General features: G+C 42.2%; 1 protein-coding gene across 4 annotated transcripts in view, besides 3 other annotated features; it reads right to left on the bottom strand.

Moving 5' to 3' along the window:
• The window catches only part of SHISA9 (shisa family member 9), a 661,420-nt gene that overhangs the window by 205,686 nt on the left and 435,038 nt on the right, over positions 1-20,696 (bottom strand). For all 4 annotated transcript variants that reach the window (XR_932915.3, XR_007064905.1, XM_011522642.3 and 1 more), the window contains exon 4: positions 6,911-7,152. Coding sequence is in view for 2 of the 4 variants with exons in the window: in XM_011522642.3 (XP_011520944.1) it covers positions 6,911-7,152 (242 nt within the window). In the remaining 2 variants the exon portion in view is untranslated. The remainder of the gene's footprint in view (positions 1-6,910; positions 7,153-20,696) is intronic.
• Positions 3,875-4,474: an enhancer, noted in NCBI's record as "OCT4-NANOG-H3K27ac hESC enhancer chr16:13446715-13447314 (GRCh37/hg19 assembly coordinates)". NCBI's record gives its function as "activates a minimal SCP1, AML or CMV promoter by ChIP-STARR-seq in naive and primed H9 embryonic stem cells {active_cell/tissue: H9 hESC(naive and primed)}" and the evidence as "EXISTENCE:reporter gene assay evidence [ECO:0000049][PMID:30033119]".
• Positions 4,475-5,074: an enhancer, noted in NCBI's record as "OCT4-NANOG-H3K27ac hESC enhancer chr16:13446115-13446714 (GRCh37/hg19 assembly coordinates)". NCBI's record gives its function as "activates a minimal SCP1, AML or CMV promoter by ChIP-STARR-seq in naive and primed H9 embryonic stem cells {active_cell/tissue: H9 hESC(naive and primed)}" and the evidence as "EXISTENCE:reporter gene assay evidence [ECO:0000049][PMID:30033119]".
• Positions 5,075-5,674: an enhancer, noted in NCBI's record as "OCT4-NANOG-H3K27ac hESC enhancer chr16:13445515-13446114 (GRCh37/hg19 assembly coordinates)". NCBI's record gives its function as "activates a minimal SCP1, AML or CMV promoter by ChIP-STARR-seq in primed H9 embryonic stem cells {active_cell/tissue: H9 hESC(primed)}" and the evidence as "EXISTENCE:reporter gene assay evidence [ECO:0000049][PMID:30033119]".

The raw sequence follows: 20,696 nt of genomic DNA, 5'->3' as shown, positions 1-20,696 counted from the left end.
TCTCTTAATTTCAATTCCTTTCATTTTCTAGTAGAGACAAAAGAGACATGTTTTATCCGTGAACCCAAAACTCCGGCGCCGGTCACGGACTTCACCCTTAGCGGCAAGTCCCGCTTTCCTAGGGGGCAAGAACCCCCCAGTCGCTTATTTCCGCACCCCAGCCTCTTATCTCTGTGCCCCAATCCCTTATTTCCGTGCCCCAACCCCTTCTCTGCTTTTCTGGAGGGCAAGAACCCTCCACCCCTTCTCCGTGTCTCTACTGTTTTCTGTGGGTTTGCCTCCTTCACTATAGGTAAGCTTCCACCTTCCATTCCTCCTTCTTCTCCCTTAGCCTGTGTTCTCAAAAACTTAAAACCTCTTCAACTCACACCTGACCTAAAACCTAAATGCCTTTTCTTCTGCAATGCCGTTTGACCCCAATACAAACTCGACGGTAGTTCCAAATAGCCAGAAAATGGCACTTTGAATTTTTCCATCCTGCAAAATCTAAATAATTCTTGTCGTAAAATAGGCAAACGGTCTGAGGTGCCTGACGTCCAGGCATTCTTTTACACATCAGTCCCTTCCTAGTCTCTGTGCCCAGTGCAACTTGTCCCAAATCTTCCTTCTTACCCTCCCACCTGTCCCCTCAGAACCAACCCCAAGCGTCGCTGAGTCTTTCTAATCTTCCTTTTCTACAGACCCATCTGACCCCTCCCTTCCTCCCCAGGCTGCTCCTCACCAGGCCGAGCTAGGTCCCAATCCTTCCTCAGCCTCTGCTCCTCCACCCTATAATCTTTTTATCACCTCCCCTCCTCACACCTGGTCTGGCTTACCGTTTCGTTCCGTGACTAGCCCTCCCCCTCCTGCCCAGCAATTTACTCTTAAAAAGGTGGCTGGAGCTAAAGGCACAGTCAAGGTTAATGCTCCTTTTTCTTTATCCCAAATCAGAAGCGTTTAGGCTCTTTTTCATCAAATATAAAAATCCAGCCCAGTTCATGACTTGTTTGGCAGCAACCGTGAGACACTTTACAGCCCTAGACCCTAAAAGGCAAAAGGCCGTCTTATTCTCAAAATACATTTTATTACCCAATCTGCTCCCGACATTAAATAAAACTCCAAAAATTAAATTCCGGCCCTCAAACCCCACAACAGGATTTAATTAACCTCACCTTCAGGTGTACAATAATAGAAAAAAGTTGCAATTCCTTGCCTCCACTGTGAGACAAACCCCAGCCACATCTCCAGCACACAAGAACTTCCAAACGCCTGAACCGCAGTGGCCAGGTGTTCCTCCAGAACCTCCTCCCACAGGAGCTTGCTACACGTGCCAGAAATCTGGCCACTGGGCCAAGGAATGCCCGCAGCCTGGGATTCCTCCTAAGCCACGTCCCATCTCTGTGGGACCCCACTGAAAATCGGACTGTTCAACTCACCTGGCAGCCACTCCCGGAGCCCCTGGAACTCTGGCCCAAGGCTTTCTGACTGACTCCTTCCCAGATCTTCTCGGCTTAGCGGCTGAAGACTGACACTGCCCGATCGCCTCGGAAGCCCCCTAGACCATCACGGACATCGAGCTTCAGGTAACTCTCACAGTGGAAGGTAAGCCCGTCCCTTTCTTAATCAATACGGAGGCTACCCACTCCACATTACCTTCTTTTCAAGGGCCTGTTTCCCTTGCCTCCATAACTGTTGTGGGTATTGATGGCCAGGCTTCTAAACCTCTTAAAACTCCCCAACTCTGGTGCCAACTTAGACAATACTCTTTTAAGCACTCCTTTTCAGTTATCCCCACCTGCCCAGTTCCCTTATTAGGCTGAGACACTTTAACTAAATTATCTGCTTCCCTGACTATTCCTGGGCTACAGCTATATCTCATTGCCGCCCTTCTTCCCAATCCAAAGCCTCCTTTGCGTCCTCCTCTTGTATCCCCCCACCTTAACCCACAAGTATAAGATACCTCTACTCCCTCCTTGGTGACCAATCATGCACCCCTTACCATCTCATTAAAATCTAATCACCCTTACCCCACTCAACGCCAATATCCCATCCCACAGCACACTTTAAAAAGATTAAAGCCTGTTATTACTTGCCTGCTACAGCATGGCCTTTTAAAGCCTATAAACTCTCCTTACAATTCCCCCATTTTACCTGTCCTAAAACCAGACAAGCCTTACAAGTTAGTTCAGTATCTGTGCCTTATCAACCAAATTGTTTTGCCTATCCACCCCGTGGTGCCAAACCCGTATACTCTCCTATCATCAATACCTGCCTCTACAACCCATTATTCTGTTCTAGATCTCAAACATGCTTTCTTTACTATTCCTTTGCACCCTTAATCCCAGCCTCTCTTCGCTTTCACTTGGACTGACCCTGACACCCATCAAGCTCAGCAAATTACCTGGGCTGTACTGCCGCAAAGCTTCACAGACAGCCCCCATTACTTCAATCAAGCCCAAATTTTTTCCTCAACTGTTACCTATCTCGCCATAATTCTCATAAAAACACACGTGCTCTCCCTGCCAATCGTGTCCAACTGATCTCAAACCCCAGCACCTTCTACAAAACAACTCCTTTTCTTCCTAGGCATGGTTAGCGCAGTCAGAATTCTTACACAAGAGCCAGGACCACACCCTGTAGCCTTTCTGTCCAAACAACTTGACCTTACTGTTTTAGCCTAGCCCTCATGTGTGCGTGCAGCGGCTGCCGCTGCTTTAATACTTTTAGAGGCCCTCAAAATCACAAACTATGCTCAACTCACTCTCTACAGTTCTCATAACTTCCAAAATCTATTTTCGTTCTCATACCTGATGCATATACTTTCTGCTCCCTGGCTCCTTCAGCTGTACTCACTCTTTGTTGAGTCTCCCACAATTACCGTTGTTCCTGGCCCAGACTTCAATCCCACATTATTCCTGATACCACACCTGACCCCCATGACTGTATCTCTCTGATCCACCTGACATTCACCCCATTTCCCCAAATTTCCTTCTTTCCTGTTCCTCACCCTGATCACGCTTGATTTATTGATGGCGGTTCCACCAGGCCTAATTGCCACACACCAGCAAAGGCAGGTTATACTATAGTACAAGCCACTAGCCTGCCTCTTAGAACCTCTCATTTCCTTTCCATCGTGGAAATCTATCCTGAAGGAAATAACTTCTCAGTGTTCCATCTGCTATTCTACTACTCCTCAGGGATTCTTCAGGCCCCCTCCCTTCCCTACACATCAAGCTCGAGGATTTGCCCCACCCAGGACTGGCAAATTAGCTTTACTCAACATGCCCTGAGTCAGATAACTAAAATACCTCTTTGTCTAGGTAGATACTTTCACTGGATAGGTAGAGGCCTTTCCTACAGGGTGTGAGAAGGCCACCGCAGTCATTTCTTCCCTTCTGTCAGACATAATTCCTCAGTTTAGCCTTCCCATCTCAATACAGTCTCATAACAGATGAGCCTTTATTAGTCAAATCAGCCAAGCAGTTTTTCAGGCTCTTAGTATTCAGTGAAACCTTTATATCCCTTACGGTCCTCCGTCTTCACGAAAAGTAGAATGGACTAAAGGTCTTTTAAAAACACACCTCACCAAGCTCAGCCACCAACTTAAAAAGGACTGGACAATACTTTTACCACTTTCCCTTCTCAGAATTCAGGCCTGTATTCAGAATGCTACAGGGTACAGCCCATTTAAGCTCCTGTATAGACGCTCCTTGTTATTAGGCCCCAGTCTCATTCCAGACACCAGACCAACTTAGACTGTGCCCCAAAAAACTTGTCATCCCTACTATCTTCTGTCTAATCATACTCCTATTTACCGATCTCAACTACTCACACATGCCCTGCTCTTGTTTACACTGCAGGTTTACACTATTTTTCCAAGCCATCACAGCTGATATCTCCTGGTGCTATCCCCAAACTGCCACGCTTAACTCTTGAAGTAAATAAATGATCTTTGCTGGCAGGACTATGCTGAATCTCCTTAGGCACTCTCTAATCAGATATCCTGAGTCGTCCCAATTCTTAGACCTTTTATACCTGTTTTTCTCCTTCTTATTCCATTTAGTTTTTCAGTTCATACAAAACCGTATCCAGGCCATCACCAATCATTCTATACAACAACTGTTTCTTCTAACATCCCCACAATATCACCCCTTACCACAAGATCTCCTTTCAGCTTAATCTCTCCCACTCTAGGTTCCCACACCGCCCCCAATCCCGCTTGAAGCAGCCCTGAGAAACATCGTCCATTCTCTCTCCATACCACCCACCAAAAATTTTCGCCGCCCCAACACTTCAACACTATTTTGTTTTATTTTTCATACTAAGAAGGCAGGAATGTCAGGCCTCTGAGCCCAAGGCTCATATACGCCCAGATGGCCTGGAGTAACTAAAGAATCACAAAAGAAGTGAATATGCCCTGCCCCACCTTAACTGATGACATTCCACCACAAAAGAAGTGTAAATGGCCGGTCCTTGCCTTAACTGATGACATTACCTTGTGAAAGTCCTTTTCCTGGCTCATCCTGGCTCAAAAAGCTCCCCCACTGAGCACCTTGTGACCCCCACTCCTGCCCGCCAGAGAACAAACCCCCTTTGACTGTAATTTTCCTTTACCTACCCAAATCCTATAAAACGCCCCGCCCCCCCCCCCCCTTATCTCCCTTCGCTGACTCTCTTTCCGGACTCAGCCCGCCTGCGCCCAGGTGAAATAAACAGCCATGTTGCTCACACAAAGCCTGTTTGGTGGTCTCTTCACACGGACGCGCATGAAAATACTGTTACTTTCCAGAACAATCTTAAGGACAACACAGGAGCCCTTACATTTCCACTGGGATCCTGCTTATATTGTAACAAGGAGGTGCTGGATATAGCTACGCTCCCATCTCCCTACGGCAACCACTGATAATGCATTAATGCATTTATTGTTGGTTTTGCTCACCCCAGAAATTTTGCTGTTGACTTGAACTTCATTGTGATCATACTGCAGCTGCATTTGAAACCCTGCCTTTTCATTTAATGTCATAACAAAAGCATCAAATAAACTCTCATATCAAAAGAAACTGTTTTTGCTAATTTTTATTTCTGCTCCAGATTTTATGAAGTCAAAGAAATCAGACCATGCACTCTGTTCTCCCAATATTCTGCCCTCCTGTGGCTCAGAATGATTTTTTTAAAGGAGATATAAGAAGTTGGCATTGCTACTGAGCTTGGCATGACCAAGGGCTTGGAGTGGAGGGAGGAATGTTTTGGTGTTAGAAGCTGAAGAAGCCCTCCTTCAGCTATCACATCCTCTCTCCATGCTCAAATTGATATTCATCTCTCCAGCATCCTTTGATGTCAGGAAAGCCATTCTATTCGGGCAGGAGCCAGAAGGACCTTGGCTGATGCTCCACCTGTTGTCATTTCTCCCTCTGTCTTCCAGCAGTGAATTTAGAAAAACCCTTCACAGGATAGCAGTATGTTTGCTATCATACTACAGTTCCCCGTGTTTGATCTCATGTTTCTTGCCTGGAGCTCATATTTCAGACTAGAGTAAATTATTTACTGGTGTTAGCAACCAATCCTTGTGTTATTCAAAATATAAACCTGAAATATCGAGCAATCAGACCTCAACAGCTGAACGCTATTTATGCTTTGCAGATATAGAGACAGATCAAAGGATGATTCATAATTATTCTAACACAGTGATTTTTCCAAGTGAAAGAAGGGGAGATGCAGTTTTCCCTAGTTCTAAGGAAATAAACAGTAACCTGGGCAAGTGTTGATTTATCCTCCTTGGATTCATCACAGCCTGGGAGGAGGATGGCAGGGGTGGGGTGGGGAAATGGGACCTGGAGATGCCCTTACAACTGTCCTGGCTTCCTTCCTTTGCATGTTCAACCTCCTTTGCACGTTGACAGTCCTCAGTTCATCCTTCTGCTATTCATAGTGTGTTGTACTTGTCTTCTATCTCCTCTGCCTTTCCTGCCACCCACCAGTCAGTGAACTGAAGGTTAGAAAACCATGTTATACGGAGGAGTATGTTTACCTGGGAGCAGCTGCCATTTGCTTGCCCTGGTAGCTTTAACGTCGTCTGTCTGGGGGCCTTTGGGTCAGAGAAGAACAAGCGGTTCGTGACAGGCAGTGTAGGTAAGGGACTAGGAGACTGGGCTTTGATGTGACAGGGATTTGGGTTTGAGTCTTGGCTCTGCCACTTTTTGCTGTGTGATTCTGAGAAAGGTATCTGTTTCTCAGCTTCCTCACCAGTATGATGGGGATTGTTTTGAAAATTGAGACAATTCATATAAAAATATATTCACATAAAGAATTTAGCCCAGTGCCTGCACATCAGTGCCCAATAGATGGTAGCCATATTTACTGTTCGGGAAAACCTGCAAGCTTTTTCTAGGAAGTACTGTCGGTAGAAAATATTGCGGGCTTCATGTTCCCTGGAACAGCCAGGTTGTATTGTAAGATTAAGTCCTACTTACTCTGACTTTGCCAAAGCCTCTTTTGAAGAATAAAGAGGGTTTCTGTGTAATAAGGAGCAAATCTTAAAGCCAGCCATTCAACAAGCCATTCAGAATTAATACCCCAGGGCTCAGTTTTTTCCTCACTCTTTCTTTGCAAAAATACTTTGAAAAAAGCAGCTTAGGGTCATCTTGGAGGAACTTGGGCCTCTGAGGCAAAAAGGCACAACTGGAAAGAACCCACTTCTGCAAAGTCATGTCTGCAATTGGTATACAGAGGCACTCACCTGAAGATCCCAAGCGTGGCTTTCAGAGGACAGAGCCTTGAGGCTAGACAGGAAGCAATCTCAACTCAATGGGTATAAGTGAGCATTTATCAGTTTAGAAGCTGTATTAATCAGGGTTCTCCACAGAGACAAAGCCAATAAGATATGTAGAAGGAGAAAGATATGAGAAGTGATTTGTTAAGAGAATTGGCTCACGTGATTATGGAGGCTAAATCTCACAGTAGGCAATCTGCAGGCTGGAGACCCAGGGAAGCTGGTAGCATGGCTCAGTCCAACTCCAACGGCCTCAGAACCAAAGAAGCCGATGGTGTAACTCTCAACCGAGGCGGCCAAAACCTTGAGAACCCAGGGGGCCACTAGTGCAAGTCTTGAAGTCTGAAGGCCAGAGAATCTGAAGTTCTGATGTCCAAAGGCAGGAGAAGAAGGGTGTTCCAGCTCTAGAAGAGACAGAAAACAAATTCACTCTTGCTTTGCCTTCTTGCTCTATTCAGATCCTCAGCTGATTGGATGGAGCCCCCCATGTCAAGGGCAGGGCTTCCTTATTCAGTCCACTCATTCAAATGCCAACCTCTTCCCAAAACACACTCACAGACACACCCAGAAATAATACCTTAGCAGCTATTTGGGTATCCCTTAATCCAGTCAAGTTGAGACCTAAAATTAACCATCACAGGGGCCTTTCAGAGAACTCTGGTAAAAATAATGGGCCTCCTAACTTCTACATATCTTCTAAAGACCTTGGTCTTTTTGCTTATTTAACCTAGTTCCTCCCTTCCAGACCAGATGAAAATCAGCTCCTTTTTCTGTTCATCTAAACAAAAGTAACCATCCCTACATGAAATTTATTACTACACCTTCATGATTCTAAGATGCCATATTTGTAAGACACATCACTGATTTAATAGCACCTTTCTAGAAGAAAAACACAAAAATAAGTGTACCCATCAACTGTCAGTTGTTTCATGCTTTCAGTAATGGTAAAATGTGGAAAGATGTGCAACTTGGAATTGAAAACATCTAATCATGCTAACTCAAAGGGCACTTGTTGCAACAGAAATGCTACAACTGCCAGTGGATCAGTGAGTGCAGCAGTGGCTCTGTGTGGTATTAGAGCTCCCAGTACCTCCTCCTTCTCTTTGTATTCCAGTGTTCTCAGGAACCTGGCACTTGACCTCCAGAGAGCTGGTGCTTAATCAGCAAAGTCACATACGCATCTCTAGAGTCTGTCCCCTATCACTTCAACCGCTCTCATTCTTTAGGCAAGTTTTTAATATTTTCTGAAGAACCCAGAGCTGCCTCTATGAGACCCCCTCGTCCATGCAAGTCACTATGTGTTAACACTGCGGGTGGTTAAGACCTACTGAATATCAGTCAACAGGAAAATCTAAACCGATGCTGCCTTGCAAACCTCACTGGCATTTTGCTGGTGGGAATTAAGAGAACAAAGGGAGTTGATATTTGCTATATAAAGATCCTAGATGGGAATTATATGCCTCTTGTCTATCTCTTTGGTTCAAAAGCAGATCTATTTCCTTGGTTACAAAGAGCCCCTTACCAGGCTAGAGAACAGAACAGACACACTGGCTTGGTAATTTCAAAGAACAAATGTCAAGAGTGGGTGTGTGCATGAGGGAACAGTGTTTGGAAATGACTCTGTGGGCCACTAACCTACCCACTCTGGCAAAGGGGGATGTTAGTCCGAGGCAAATGGAGAGTGCAAAGAGAAAACAAGCTGGTGAGGCCACAAAGTATACAAATGAGGGAACTCTGTAACAGGCAGCTTTTGGTAAAAAGACAAGTTGTTCCGTGAATCTTCCTCTTCTCGGGCCCCTTCAATCTACAAATGCAGATCGGACCTCCATGATTGTCCTACAGGATCCCACTTCCCTGAGCATAGTCTGATTAGACTAGAGCTGATCACAATGATTCAAACAGGACCAATCAGATTGTCTCTAACATAATTCAGAATCCCATCAAGCAGCAGCCATTCAGTCTCTGTCTGTGGTTGGTTAAGTGGGACTGTGGAGACTGAATGGCTGCTGCTTGATTGGTTACAGAGTCAGGCACCAGGCATCAGCTCGACAAATTGCCAGCTGTTCTTAGGCAAATTACTCAACCAGGGTACCTCTCAGATTCCTCACCCGTACATTAAGGGCGATAATAGTACATGCCTCATGTGAGATGCTTAGCACAAAACTGCTGACATGTAAAAGTATGTGAGAAATATAGGTTGAGCCTCTGTAATCAAAAAAATCCAAAATTTGAGGTGTTCCAAAATCTCACACTTTTGGAGCGTGAATATGGTGCTCAAAGGAGATGCTCATTGGAGCATTTTGGATTACGAATTTTTGGATTAGAGATGCCGACACTGTTAAATCTAATGCAAATATTCAAAAATCAAAAAAGAAAATTCCAGAGTCTGAAATACTTCTGGTGTCAAGCATTTTAGATATGGGATACTAAACCTGTCTTAACGTTATTATTGTATTAATTTTCTGTGGCTGCCATAACAACTAACCGCAGACTTAGTGGCTAAAAAACAACACAAATATATTATTTTATAGTTATGTGGGTTGGAAATTCAACACAAGCCTCACTCACCCTTGTGACTATGTGATTACATTAGGCCCAGGTGGCTTATCCAGGATAATCTCCCTATTTTAAGGTCAGCTGATTAGCAATCTTAATTCCATCTGCAATCCTAATTCCTCTTTGCCATGTAATGCAACATATTCACAAGTTCTTGGGATTAAGATGTGGACATCTTTGTGGGGGGGTACGTTATTCTACCTTCCACAATTGTCAGAAAAAAAATTGAGGAGCTCTGGGCAACAATAGTACATCTTAAAGATGGTGAAGAAAAAGAAGAAATTCTGCAGGAGAATGAAGACAGGCCAGACACAACACTCATTCTAGAAATAACCCAGTGTTCTTATGTCAATCAGGGGCCCCTAAAAACTAAATTACATCATTTATGGATAATATCTCCCAGAATTTTAGTTGAGCCAAGTTCACTTTAGTATTTTTTTCTTTGTCCAGAAATGCAGTGCTCTTTTGAAAGAAGTCCTCGAGTTTCCTTTTGCACCCGCTCTAAACAACTATTGTCCCTGCACTATGCCCTGAAAAAGGAAGACATGTAAGTGCAGGATTTCTGTGAGCCTATGTGGGTACTGGCCTTGTGTAGAGTGATTTTACTTGGAATAGGATTATGGATGGACTCAATAAAAGATGTGTTTGAGTACTACCTCTGCCTCCTAAAATATCTGAGTGCCCAAACGAGGTATGCAGCCTTTATGCTGAGGCTATGACCCCAGGATCCTCATCTGATAAAATGGAGATAATGTTCTCTCCCTCATAGGATTGGTTTAAGAATTAAATAAGTATACTATACCTGACCCCGTGCTCAAAAAAGTGGTTGAGCAAGTGTTCAGAAATGGCAATTTTCCCTCCTTTTCTTTGGTTGAAATAAAAAATGCATCCTTGACATTGTATTTTCTCACATCATCAGGAAAAGAACTAAAAAGAAACTACATAAGCACAATACAACTTTCCTTTGATTGTTTTTGAGTCAATGAATGAAGTCAGAGCATAAAAGATGGCCAGAAAACCAGAGATCCACATGCCACATTACATAGAACAAATGTGAATAAATCTCAAAACCCAGCATGAAGGAAGAAAAGTAGGAAACAGGTTGGGATTTATAGCACAATACTATTTATGCAAATTAAGAACATGCACACGCAAGCACCACCATATTTTTTAAGGGTGCAGGTAAATATTAAATGATTATAAAACATGGAAGGCTACTTGAAGTATACGTATTAAGTCCACTGGGGTGTATACGGTATGGTAGGGGAAAAGGGGAAATAAAAATAATAAAATAGAATGGTTTATTTTCCTTTGGGTAGACACCACTTGACTGCTGGATCAAATGATAGTTCTATTTTTAGTTCTTAGAGAAAAAATTATACAAATACAAACATAAATAATAAAATAAAAGAGACTTCCACCACGAAGAATGATAACATGCCATGAGTGGGAGATTACTATTACCTCAATTTTTTTGTTCTTGACATCCTTTGTGAAAGCCAACAACAAGGGTCAATAGTAGCTTTTGTAATCCTATTCCAAAGGAATTGTCAAAAATTGGTACATTTAATAGAAGGCTGTTTTCGGTCGACACTGATGCACTTGATTGAGAGACGACCAAGTCTGGCCTAGTCTTCAGGAAACCCAGTTTTGCCTGAGACCTTCCTTGACCATCAGGTGCTCTATAAAGCTGTAGGGGTCTTTAGCCCATGAATATCTGGTGGCGTCGCAGCCGATTTAAGCTTTTGCAGTAACTTGCATGAAACTGAAGGCCGTTATCTTCAGTGAAATAACTCAGAAACAGAAAGTCAAATACCATATGTTCTCACTTAGAAGGGGAAGCCAAAGAATGCATATGCATGGACATGGAGCATGGAATGATAGACACTGGACACTTGAAAATGTAGGAGAGTGGAAGAAGGATGAGGGATGAGAAATTACTTAATGGGTACAATATACAATATTTGGGTGATGGTTACACTAAAAGCCCAGGCTTTACCACTATTCCTGTAACAAAGCTGCACTTGTACCCCTTAAACTTACAGAAATTTTTAAAAAAATTTTTTTACAAGAGTAAAACAACCCCATAAAGAATTGGGCGAAGGACCTGAATGAAACTTTTTCAAAAGAAGACATATATGAGGCCAACAATCATAGGAAAACAAGCCCAATGTCACTGATGATTAGAGAAATGCAAATCAAAACCACAATGAGATATTATCTAACAACAGTCAGAATGGCTATTATTAAAAAGTCAAAAAATAACAGATGCTGGTGAGGTCGTGGAGAAAAAGAAACACTTATACACTGTTGGTGGGAATGTAAATTAGTTCAGCCATTGTGGAGACAGTGTAGTGATTCGTCAAAGACCTAAAGATAGAAATACTATTCGACCCAGCAAGACCATTACTGGGTATAATAGAATATAAATCATTCTATTATAAAGGCACATGCACATGTATGTTCATTGAAGCACTATTCACAATAGCAAAGACATAAAATCAACCTAAATGCCCATCAGTGATAGACTGGATTAAGAAAATGTGGCACATGTACACCATGGAATACTGTGTAGCAATAAAAAAAGAACATAATTATGTCCTTTGCAGGGACATGGATGGAGCTGGAAGCCGGTATCCTTAGCAAACTAACACAGGAACAGAAAACCAAATACCACATGTTCTCACTTACAAGTGGGAGCTAAATGATGAGAACACATGAACACAGAGGGGAAAAGCACACACTTGGGCCTTTCAGAGGTGGAGGATGGGAGGAGGGAGAGGATCAGGAAAAATAACTAATGGGTATTAGGCTTAATACCTGAGTGATGAAATAATCTGTACAATAAACTCCAATGACACAAGGTTACCTATATAACAAACCTGCACTTGTATCCTGAAGTTAAAATAAAATTTAAAAAAAAGAAGTTTAATGTACCCAAGCAAGCAGCTTGGGTGACCCACTAAACAAGTCACAGTAGAGATTTATTCAAAAATTATGAAATTACTCTGGGTTGGCCTCCCTCTCCTTCCTTCCAATTCTACATACATGGGGAATGTTGCAGGCCCTTGGAGACTCAGTGTTCTCTACCTGTAGAATGAACAGAGTGACTTATCTTAGCTCTTTCCTGCTAAGAGAAGCCAAGAGGACTAATGCCTCCTTTGAGGTCCTTACTATAGTGTAATGACCAAGAACATAGGATTTGGAGGCATGCTTCTTGGGCTCAGACTTGGACTCTGTCATTTACTGGTTGTGAGATTTGGGGCATATATATTCACTTTGCTGTGCCTTCAGTTTCTCCACCTATAAAATGAGACCAATAATAGCATCTATTGTAAGTGCTTATCATCATGCCTGGCAAATGGTGTGAACTCAGTACATATGGCCATTGTGTCATTATTGTTGCCACTATGATAGTTTCTACTGTTATCATTATTATCAATATTATTACCATGTTATTCTATTTGGTGGCAGATGCACTATGGGAAAACATATTGCAAGGATCTGATCTTTAGAAAATAATTTTGAATTCTGCCACAGCTTTAGAGAACCCTCAGAAATAAGAAAAGGGCATAGAGGAGGAAGAAGGAAGAAGAGCTAAAAAAGGAATGATGGGGGAAAACAAGTTTGCAGCACTTGGAACCATTCCTGGTATGTAGTAATTTCCACCCCCCATTCCTATACACACACAAACCTTTCGTAGATGAATTGTTATAAAACCAAGATCTAAATGATAGCCAAATACAGACCTACTGGCTGGTTCTCCAATCCCATCACTCTCCACCCTCACCCTCCACAAAGTCAGTGAGTAAGAAAAGCTTTGATTCTGCCCTGTGATTCACACTCAGTGGGTTTCTTGGGTGATTTCATTATAAGTAAAATAATTCCAGGGTTTTCCCTTGAAGAGTAGTATACATTGGTGATGAAATTGTCATTTGTCTCTGCCAACAGACCGTCATGGGTTGTGAAGCTGAGAGTAGTCCTGAGGCTGTGGCAGAGAAGGGCATGGTCTTTAATGCTCTGGACCCATTTGCTAAGCTGATTTTTGCTTTTGTCCTATAACAACAATGATTAATTTTATCCAAATTATCCTTTCTCTCCTTGTTAATCCACCGTGTTTTTCTGAACACTTTCTTATGGATTAGTATTGATGCTGGGGTTTCTTGGAGGACCCAGCCAATGTAACAAAAGCTTCTCAAGATGTTTACTGATGCTCTTCTCCTATTGATCTAATTAAAGATCATGATGCCTAATATAATTAGTCAGCCTTTCTGTCAGGATGCTTCTTACACTTTTAAACATACAAGCACCAGAGATCAATTGCTTTAGGATAATGAACTACAATTCTGAAAGAAATGGCTTTCAGGATACAAATATGTGAATCAACTAGGACTTTAATTATAGGATTTCTCACTTTTTTGTAAAGCAGTTGATGATTATTTTCCTCCCAGACCAAGTCCTTCTCCATCTAGAGGCCAGAATCCCAGCATCACTTCATGGAATATGCTTTACATTTTTGACTGAAGGGATTGTCCTGAGGATGTGGTGTGGGAGCAGGTGACTCCCACACCACATGGTGATTAGCATTTTATTAGCATGGTGATTAGATGATGATTAGCATTTTATTTGTGGTACTAGAGAGAAAAAGAAAAAAGTGGGAAAATGTAAAAGTTTTATGAAAGAAAAGGTATGTAAGATTGAGATCACATGTTAAGGAATCAACCTTGGGAAGATAAGATATAATTTCTCAGAGAAAAGAATGTGAAGTTAACTAGAGATATTGAGAGATCTGCAGATTTGGTGCAAAGATTTCAGCAACATTACAGAGTTTTCATCTGAAGTTTTCCAGTTTCTCTATTGACTAAGCGGTAAGATCATCAGCTAAGAATAGGTCGGGTTAATGATCATGACAAAAATAAAACAAAAATAATCATATTAACAACAACAATAGTTAATATGCATTGAGTGCTTCTCATGTGCTAGGTAATATGTTAATCATTTTGCATATATTAACTCTTAATCTTTACAACAGACTCATTAGTTTGGATTAGATCTTTGAGATCTTTGAGAGCAGAAAAGCAATTTCAATAGGAAAACGTCATAGGATGTAAAACCATTCTCTTGGGTTTTTCTCTGTTGTGGTTTTTAGCTGCTCAGGTGTGTAGCCCTTACTGCATCTAGTGCTGGGTGTTGCCAGGAAAGTATGGTGGAGGGAGAACAGGAGCCAAGAACATTGAGTAGATGGCATTTGGAAGCAGGTGATTGCAAATAATGGACCATGAAATCTAATCAGAATAATAATGGCAAAGAGAAAGGGACTACCGAATGTGGGGAAAGTGATGGTGTAAACGGATTAGAGTCATAGTGAAGTTGAAGAGTTATTGTATTAGAGTTTGTTGCCTTAAAGATCAAAGGATCTTGTAGCCACAAAGGAATAAGTTGAGCCGGATGTGGAGGCTCACCCCTGTAGTCCCAGCACTTCAGAAGGCCGAGAGGGGTGGATTATTTGAGGTCAGGAGTTTGAGACCAGTCTGACCAACATGGTGAAATTCTCTACTAAAAATACAAAAAAATTAGCTGGACATGGTGGCACATGCCTGTAATCCCAGCTACTGGGGAGGTTGAGGCAGGAGGATCGCTTGAACCCAGGAGATGGAGGTTGCAGTGAACCAAGATCGCACCACTGCACTCCAGCTTGGACTCTGTCTTAAAAAAAAAATGTAGGAAGCTGGCATCTGTGATGTTTGTACATAGGACAGTGTTCAGTAACAGTGACTTCTAAGGTGTGACCCTGATGTGGCAGCTGAGATATAGAGCACGTGAAATAATAGATATGATCAGTTTTGTGCTTGGAAAAATGAGTAGTGTGGAAGGGGTAAGCATGTAATCAGGGAGAGAATTGGAAAAGAGTTTTAGGCATCTTGGAGACAGACCATGGCAGCTTAACTAGGGTTGTGGTGGTGAGACTGTAGGGAGGAAGTGGGTAGATTTGGGAACTATTTAGCAGGCAGAATGGTGAATAAACTCAATGGATTTGACTGTGAGAAGGAGAGGAAAGAAGCAAAGAGATGCCCAGATTTTTGGCTTAGGCAACTGGGTGGATGTTGCTCTGGTTCAGTCACAGAAAAGGATTGGAACAGAGATAAATAATGAATCCAGAGGAGACATGCAGACTGAGATACTTTTAAAGGTTTCAAATGAATCAGTATGTCTCTGCTACGTATAGATAGGATCCTTACATGTTGTTATCAATGTTTCCTTTAAGGAGAGTTTTGCCTTTGAATAGGTTACTGATTAACTCAAACAGGGTCTGTGGGAGGAAAGCGTGTTTAAAATGGAGAAACAAATACAGGTTAGCAAAGGCACTGTAAGAACTGAAGATAAAACTTTACTAGGACCAGAGGTAACTAGAATAATGCTTCCTGACCTGATAGGTTGTCTGCTGCGTCAGAGTAGAAATAACAGCAGGTATAAACTATAGACATCTTTTATGTTTCTCAGAGTGATGGTCATCATCATTGCCTCTGTTATTTGTCCTCATTTTGAATCATCTTGGGGGAAGAAAACCCTTGGGATTTTTTTCAATCTCCATCTCCTTACAGCAGCATGAAAGGTTTTATTGGGTTGCAGGGAAGAGGAATCCACTCATACAAGATTAAACAAAACATGGGAATTCAATGAAAGGATGTTGAGGGTCTTTTATTGAATCTGCAGAAAATGTGAAGAAAAAAGCATACTTTAAGACAGGCAAGGGTGGGGACAAAGACAACTCTAAGAATCTCAGCAGCAGTGGTTTGTGGACTTTCACCTGGTAGCTCTACACATCCCTGATTCTTCTTCATTTTCTTGGCAAGTATTTATTGAGTATCTACAATGGGCAAGCACTGTGCCAGGTGCTGGGGATACAGAAGTGGAGAGAAATAAACATGGATCCTTCCCAGTGGAGCTTGGAGTCTGCTGGGAAAGACAGTTATTAATCAAATAATCATACATACAAATGTATAATCACAACTGTGGTTAGTGTTTTGATAGAAAGGCACACAGTGCAATGAAAACCCACAGTAGACAAATTTGACCCAGTCAGGGAGATTAGGGAAGGTTTGCATGAGAAAGTAACCATGGAAATTATATTGGAAAGAGGAGAAAGAGAGTGGAGTGGAGAGTGGGCTTGTGTTCCCTGCAGAAGGAACAGCATGTGCAAAGGCCCGGTAGCAAGAGGACACATTTTGAGCTCAAGGGGCAACAAAGTCCAGTGTGGCTGCAGCACTAAAATGAAAGATGAGATGACATGAGTTAAAGCCTTGCAGGGCCATCATGGCTAAGGCCAGGCTGGATAAGAGCAATAGGGAGCCACAGAGCTGTTTGAAGCAGGGAAAAAGTGACTGATTTTTAGATTTGCCTTTCAAAAGGGTCCCCCTGTCCGGATTGTGGTGGAGGGTTTGTAAAGACTCAACTTCTGATTTCCAGCTCCCCAGAGGGTGAATCTGACTGGGACAGTTTTGATCATGTGTCTACCCTGGTCCAATCACATAACAAAAGGCTGAGGTCACATGGCAGGAACACGGCCACTGAGGACTCACCTCAAGGGGAGTTTTCAAAACAGATGAATTCTCCAGTATACCCCAACTAATGCATCAATTCACAAGGCACCATCACATCCAAAGGATAACACTGTCCCCTATATGTTCCCATATTCCTTTAGAAGAGGAAGCATCTGGGGAGCGAAAAAGGCAAAGAATTTTGGGAAAGACACCTGGCCAAATATAGGAGGTTAAGCCATTTGTGTGTATGTAGGCAGATGGCTTATCCTCCCATACTTCCTCCTCTGTAAAATGAGAGATAATCTTGACAGCCACTGTGTCCAAGGCTGGTATACCATGCTGTCAATTAGTCCCAAGAGGTAGCAATTATTGTTCACATTTTATAGATGTAGAAATGAAGGTTGAGCACATCTTAAATCAGGAATGACTAAATCTAAAGTTTACCATACTTTTAATCATCCTTCCAAATCTTATAGCCCTCCACATCAAATGAGTAATTACCTTTATCATTTCTAAAGAAATAATAGCAGAGTCCAATTAATAATAATATAATCATTGCTGATAGCTAAGGTGTATAGTACATTATTTTCCAGGCACTATTCCAAACACTTTATATATATTTATTCATGTAACTTTCATAACAATCTAAGATCTAAATAGTGTTATTATCTCCACATTATGGAAAACTAACTGAGGCACTCAGAGTTAAGTCGTTTGAGCAGGTTACTCAACAAACTGGTAGCAGAGCCTTTAACTCGAACCTCAGCAGATTGGCCTCAAAGTCCAGATGGTTAAACACCATGCTGTTATACTCTCTCTCTTTCTCCCTTTTTTTTCTCCACACCTCTTTCTCAAAACAAACACACACAAACAAAAAAGGAAAAATCTACTATGGGTATTATGCTTGAAATTCATGAATTCTTCATTTTATTAAAAGAAGCACGAGGGAACACCCATTCTATGCACAACTTCTATGTCGGTGCTACTGTTGCTCCCATTTTATTGATAAGGACTGAGGCTCAGAGAGATAAATTAGTTATTTAAGACAGCAGATTGTAACTGAAGAAATCCTGATTCAAATCCAAGTCTGTTTAATCTCAGAGCCTTTGCTATTAGGATATGAAAACAACGTCTTATCATCCTCTCTCCACTGGTTCCATTTCAGTGCTTCTTGCATGAACTTTAGGACCCTTGTAAAATAATAAGGTGAAAGACTGATATGGCAAAAAGTACCTAATAGCCCTTAAGTTATGACAGCTCTAACTTGGTGACACCCATACAGACCAGACTGTGTCCCATTTTCAAAAAAAAAAAAAAAAAAGTCACAATAAGGGATTGAGCTCCGGTATTTTCTGCTCCAGTTATAATCTCTGGCATGGAAATGAGTTATTTAGATGGTTAGTAACTGACAATCCCCATAAATTGCAAGAGAAGGCTCAGCAAGGGGACAGGTGACAGTATTTTGCTCTGTGTCATACTGTGTCTCTCAGGTTAGAATCCCTCCCTGAAATTCCATGTACCAAGAGGCCATGAATTATACATGTACTTCTGAAGTTTGATGAAAGTTTTCCCACCTATTAAATTGCCAGGTTCCCAAGTCTAACGTAAATCTAACCCAAATACACTTAGGAAAATATTGTGCCATTTGTTCTTCCATTATCGTGACTTTTGCTTTACTGTATTATGTATTCAAAGTGCCAGGAGAGCTTCTGCTTACTATACATTCACCTGGAGATTACAAACCAGTCAAATGAGTCTGTAACAGGCTCAGAGGTATTAGAACTCCAGAAAACATGGGCCTAATCTTTCCATCCCATCACTCAGGAGGCAGACCCTTTACTGCCCTGGAACCAACTAGCAGAAAAAAAGGCAGGACGTGCAGTGTAGAAGCCAGACTTCCAAATAAAATCCCAAGACTGAATGCTGTGGCCATCTCCCAAACCCTTCACTGGCTTGCTAAGGAAAGCACCCTAGGCTATCTATGATGTCTCCTCTTCCTATCTGTACAATCTGCTCAGCCTCAACACATACTCTTTTCCAGCCACTTCAAATATCAGCAGATATTTGGCATGCTCATGCTGAACAATGTTGTTATCAATTATTCATGAATGACGCTGAGGTCCTTGTATTGATTAGGATTGTTTTTCTGTTGCAAGTAAAAGAGCCATAACTCTAACTGACGTAAGCAAAAAGAAGAGATTGTTAGGCTATGCAATTAGGAAGTTTAGGGATACTGGAAGCTTCAGGTGTGGCTGGATCCAGGGATTCAAATGACATCACCAGGACTCAGATGCTTACCATCCCTCAGCTCTGTTTCTTCTGTGCTGGTGACACGTTGGGTAAGCTGTCTCCTTAGACTGACAAGAAGGCCCCTGGTAGCCTCACATCTTATCACTTCAGCCAAGCCAGAGTAAAGGTGGTGCCTCTTTTTAAAAATAATACTTGAAAGCTGTATTAGGCATTCTTGCATTGCTATTAAGAACTACCTGAGACTGGGTAATTTATGAAGAAAAGAGGTTTAATTGACTCACAGTTCCAAAGGCTGTATAGGATGCATGGCTAGGGAGGCCTCAGGAAACTTAGAATCCTGGTGGAATGAAAGGGGAAGCAGGCACATCTTTACATGGCAGAGCAGGAGAGAGAGAGTGAAGGGGGAAGTGCTACACACTTTTGAACAATGAGATCTCATGAGAACTCACTCACTGTCATAAGAACAGCAGGGGGAAGTCTGCCCCCATGATCCAATCACCTCCCACCAGGCCCCTCCTCCAACACTGCAGGTTACAATTCAACATGAGATTTGAGTGGGGACACAGAGCCAAACCACATGAAAAGCTTCAGGTACTTTTTTTAAAATTTGCATCAAGAAAAATCAGAATATTACACATGAATATCCCATTTGAGAGTATCTCTAGAAAAGCCCATTATCTGGCAATGTTGGCACTTCACTGGTGAATGGTAACCATATTAGTCTGTTTTCACACTGCTGATAAAGACATTACCAGAGACTGGGCAATTTACAAAAGAAAGAGGTTTAATGGACTCACAGTTCCACGTGGCTGGGGAGGCCTCACAATCATGGCAGAAGGTGAAAGGCACGTCTCACACGGCAGCAGATGAGAGAAGAATGAGAGCCAAGGGAAAGGGGTTTCCCTTTATAAAACCATCAGATCTCGTGAGACTTATTCACTACCATGAGAACAGTATGGGGGAAACTGCTCCCATGATTCAATTATCTCCCACTGGGTCCCTCCTGCAACACAAGGGAATTATGGGAGCTACAATTCAAGATGAGACTGGGGTGGGGACACAGCGAAACCATATCAGTAACCATGTGTTAGCTGTTCAGAAGGGGGCCTCCTTGACAAAGCGCATGGGCTCTCCCACTAATGAACTATCCCTCCCACACTTCATTGTCTCCCAGACTCTAGAGCCAGGCATCAGTTAACATTTGTCATCATACTGTCATTGCTGTTTTTGTTTCAGAAGAGAATATCCTTGTGGCCACATCTTTTTAAAAAGTGGGTCAGTTAACAAACTCTGAGAGAGCTGTGTATTTTCTTGCATCTGTTCCACTTTAGTCATGTATTAATATATTGCCTACCTGGATTCTTGGGGTGTGGAGGTTTGAGCCTCCACAGAAAGGTTGTTACTTTGATGGTGTTATAGGTGAGGAAAGCTAGCTGTGCCTAGAGAACCAGGGTCTAGAATGGACAAAGCAATGCAGGCAGAATGAAACCACTGATGAACATCCACCCACAAATTGAATATGCCACCTCCCCTTACCCAAAACTAAGTCCCACACCTGACATGTGGTCCACAGCTAAATTGATGGCTCTTGGTGATTATCC

Source organism: Homo sapiens, chromosome 16 (genome assembly GCF_000001405.40).
Source record: "Homo sapiens chromosome 16, GRCh38.p14 Primary Assembly".
Taxonomy (NCBI): Eukaryota; Metazoa; Chordata; class Mammalia; order Primates; family Hominidae; genus Homo; species Homo sapiens.
Note: the sequence above shows the minus strand (reverse complement) of the source record. Positions and strands in the feature narration are given on the sequence as shown.